At 38.9% G+C, this 4,009-nt stretch overlaps 1 annotated feature.

Annotated features, from left to right (window-relative positions):
- Nucleotides 544-593: an enhancer, noted in NCBI's record as "active region_8020". NCBI's record gives its function as "activates an Ori minimal core promoter by ATAC-STARR-seq in GM12878 lymphoblastoid cells {active_cell/tissue: GM12878}" and the evidence as "EXISTENCE:reporter gene assay evidence [ECO:0000049][PMID:35858748]".

Raw genomic sequence — 4,009 nt, 5'->3', positions numbered from 1 at the left:
GGCTCCACATTCATGTGCACCTTAGCCAAACACCTGCATTAGGATTTATTTTCAAGTGTACTGTGGGGTTTTATTCAAATGCATTAATAAGGAGTAAAAGCTAGCACTGTGTGTTTTCTTTCAGTTTCTGATCTTCCCAATTATTTTGTTCAAATAAGTCATTGTAAGTTTGAAAATAATAACCATAGCTATAACATCAAGTCCAGAATATAACAAAAGGAGGAAGTCCTAAATGAGAATGTACTGGAGCTAAGAAATCCAGAGAATGAATATTCTTCAAAAGCATTGTCTCAAAAGCCTGTGTCTTCATCCCATCAAAACATTTTTTTGCACTGTGTTAGAATCATCATCAGGTCATAGAAGCTGAAGTCGTGCCTGTCTGTAAGGAGGTCCCCCAAAATTGAGAAGAGGAGGTAACAGTTGGCTTTTTGCTGCATAATAAACAAGCGTTGATTTAGCACATACATCTGTGGGTCAGCTCTTTGGGCTGGACTCAGCTGGATGGTTTTATTGGTCCTGGCTGGACTCTCTCAAAGGTCTAGGTTCAGCTGCTGGTCAACGAGGTCACTCTATTTCTAGGGCTGCTGGCAATTGGTTGGGACTTGGATGGCAAGGTCAAATAGGATCTGACCCTGCAATTGCACAGCTCGCCAATCAGCTCAGGCTTTTGCTCCATTGCTGCTGGGCAGACTCTAAGACAGAGATGACACATGCAAGGCCTTGGCCCAGACCTAGTACAGCATCACTTCCTCTGCACCAGCCCTGATTCTAGGAATGAGGAAACAGACTCCACCCTACAAAGTCACACTGTGAGGGCTTTGGGTGGGGTGGTTGGAGGTAGAATTTGGACCATTTTGGCAACTCACACAGGGACCCAGAACTGAGCTCGGGGGACATCAATACTTAAGAAATAGGCAGAAGAAAAGAATAGCAGGTGAAAGAGGCCAAGGAATTCATAGAGAAATAAGAAGAGAGTCAGAGATGCTAGGCTCGTAGAGCAAGGGAGGAGAGTTCAGGAGGAACTCTCAGCAGAATCAATGTCTAAGAGAATACTTAAAAGGTCTGAAAAATGGCTCTCAAGTTCAGCAACTGCTATGCCTTTGATGGATGTGGCAGGAGCAATTCCAACGGCAGAAGTCAGATTGCAGCAGGTTGGTTAGCAGCTAGGTGTAAGGAAACCTCTATTTTAAATACACATGACATAGCAATAATAAAGAAAAACAGAGCTCATAGGACTGGGAATGATTAGAGATTATAGTTCAAGGTTCATTTTAATGATGGAAGTCCTCATTTGAGAAAGTGTGTGCCAGTGTCCTCAGAACACCATGTGTTTTAAGTTCTTAACAAAGTTCCTCTGGATCCAGTCTGCATCTCACCTTCACTGAAGTCCTGAGATTATTGTACGCTGGTGTGGCTGTAGTAACTATTTCCCCGATAATAAGATTATCTTCTATTTCTCCCAGTGTTGTAATAGTTCCCATTCAGACCATCTTCAGTGCTGTTTCTACAAGTTGATGTCAGTTGGAGGTACATGAAAGGACAAGAATTTGTCCTGTTCTGATCTCTACTGCTTGGCAAAAGGAGAGATTGTTATTAAATTAGCTTTTCAATGACAGAAGCACTGCAAATGCATTTTAAGGTAATTCCAAAAAACCAAAACATACTAGATAAAGCTAAAGTTCTCCTTGAATACCTATGTCTTCCCAGTGCCTGCCTCTGCTTCCCACAGGTACCCTCTTATCAAATGGTATGGACTTTTCAGATCTTTTATGCAGTTACATTCTGTGTTCTCATAGAAAACACAGTCATGTGGGAATATATTCTGAGAAATGCATTGTTAGTCGATTTTGTCTTGTGCATCATAGAGTATGCTTCCACAAACCTAGATGGTACAGGCTACTACATACCTAGGCTAGATGGTACAGCCTATTCCTCCTAGACTACAAACTTGTACAGCATGTGACTATACTGAATATAGTAGGCAATTGTAACACAATAGTATTTGTACATCTAAGCATAGAGAAGGTACAGTAAAAAATACAGTCTAAAAGATTAAAAATAGCACACCTGTATAAGGCACTTACCCTGAATGGAGGTTGCAGGACTAGAAGTTGCTCTGGGTGACATGTGAGTGAATATGAAGTTCTGAGACATTACGGTATACTCCTGTAGACTTCATAAACACTGTACACTTAGGCTACACTAAAATTATTTAAAATACTTTTCTTTTTTCAATGATAAATTAACCTTTGCTTACTGTAATATTTTTACTTCAAAAACTTAATTTTTTAACTTGACTGTTGTGATAATACTTAGCTTCAAACACAAACACATTGTACAGCTGTACAAAAATATTCTTTCTCTATATCCTTATTCCATAAGCTTTCTTCTATTTCTCATTTTTTTTGCTAAAAATCTGGCATAAACACACACATTAGCCCAGGCTTACACAGGTCAGAATCATTACTGTCACTGTCTCCCATCTCCAGGTCTGTCCCACTGCAAGATCTTCAGGGGCAATGACATGCATGGAGCTGTCATCTCCTGTGAGAACAATGCCTTCTGGATACCTCCTGAAGGACCTGCATGAGGCTGTTTGACAGTTAACTTTTTTTTTTAATAAGGAGAAGGAGTATGCTCCAAGATAATAATAAAATGTACAGTATGGTAAATACTAGGCAACGGGAATGTTTCAGCTTCATTATAACCTTATGGGACCATTGCCATGTATGTAGTCTGCCATTGACCCAAACATTGCTCTGCAGTCGGTGACTGTACACGGTGTAGTCAAACCATGTAGTGTCATTTTACGATTTTGTGTGTTGTTTCTTTAACACATAAATTTAACGATTTTATAGAAGTCATTCTGCACTGTCTGTTTTTATTTTTTTTTAACTAAACAGTGTATCTTCCTTTCACAACTTCATCCATTACAAGGGGAATTTACTGCCTTCAGCAGCTCTTTCTCCTGTTCAGAGCATCAGGACTTCAAATGTATTCATATTTTGTATAATACAGTAAGCATTTCTGTTTCTTATTCTTTCAGCTTTGGGGCCATTTCTGAAAAATGCCTCTAAGAAGAAATGCCCAACTTTATTACATTTTCTTAAAACCAGACATCTTTTGTATATTTTCCACTGGGTGTGTTAGGGTTATATCCCTAGTAGAGTATAGTTTTGTCATTATGAGGGGTCTTCAAAAAGTCCATGAAAAATGCATATTATGAAAAAAACTATATGTGAATTCAATTTTTTTGCACTAAAATAAACTCATACTAACTTGTTATAACATGTCTGGACAGGATATAGTTTGAGGCACTAAGAAGGATAAGACATCAGTTTGAAAAGAGCACCTGTCAGAACAACATGAATTCTGCTAAGACAGAAGCAAGAACAAACAACTTTTTAAATTTTTTATTTTTTTTAGAGACAAGGTCTTACCAGGTCTGTTACCCAGGCTGGAGTGCAATAACATGATCATAGCTCACTGTAACCTCAAACCACTGGGTTCAAGTAATCATCCCACCTCAGCCTCCCCGGTAGCTGGAACGACAGGTGTGTCCCATCACACACAGCTATTTTAAAAATTTTTTTGTAGAGATGAGCTCTTGGTATGTTGCCTAGGCTGATCTCAAAATGGTATTAGGCAATCCTCCTGCCTTGACCTCCCAAAGTGTTGGGATTACAGGTGTGAAACACTGCACCTGATCTCAAATATTTGGGTGGAAGAATGGTGAAACCACTGATGCTTTATGAAAAGATTTATGGAGATGCTATTCCCAAAGAAATCAGCAGTTTACAAATGGATACCTTGTTTTAAGAAGTGATGAGATAATTCTGAAGATGAAGCCCTCTGCAGTAGACCATCTACATCAATTTTTGAGGAAAAAAAGTTGTGTTCATTTAATAATTAAACAGGACCAATGATTAACAGCAGAAACAATAGCCAACACTATAGAAATCTGAATAGGTTGAGCTCCACAATTCTGACTGAAAAAATAACGTTGAGC

This window comes from Homo sapiens, chromosome 13 (genome assembly GCF_000001405.40).
Source record: "Homo sapiens chromosome 13, GRCh38.p14 Primary Assembly".
NCBI lineage: Eukaryota > Metazoa > Chordata > Mammalia > Primates > Hominidae > Homo > Homo sapiens.
The sequence above is the reverse complement of the archived record's forward strand: the minus strand, read 5'-3'. Positions and strand labels throughout refer to the sequence as shown.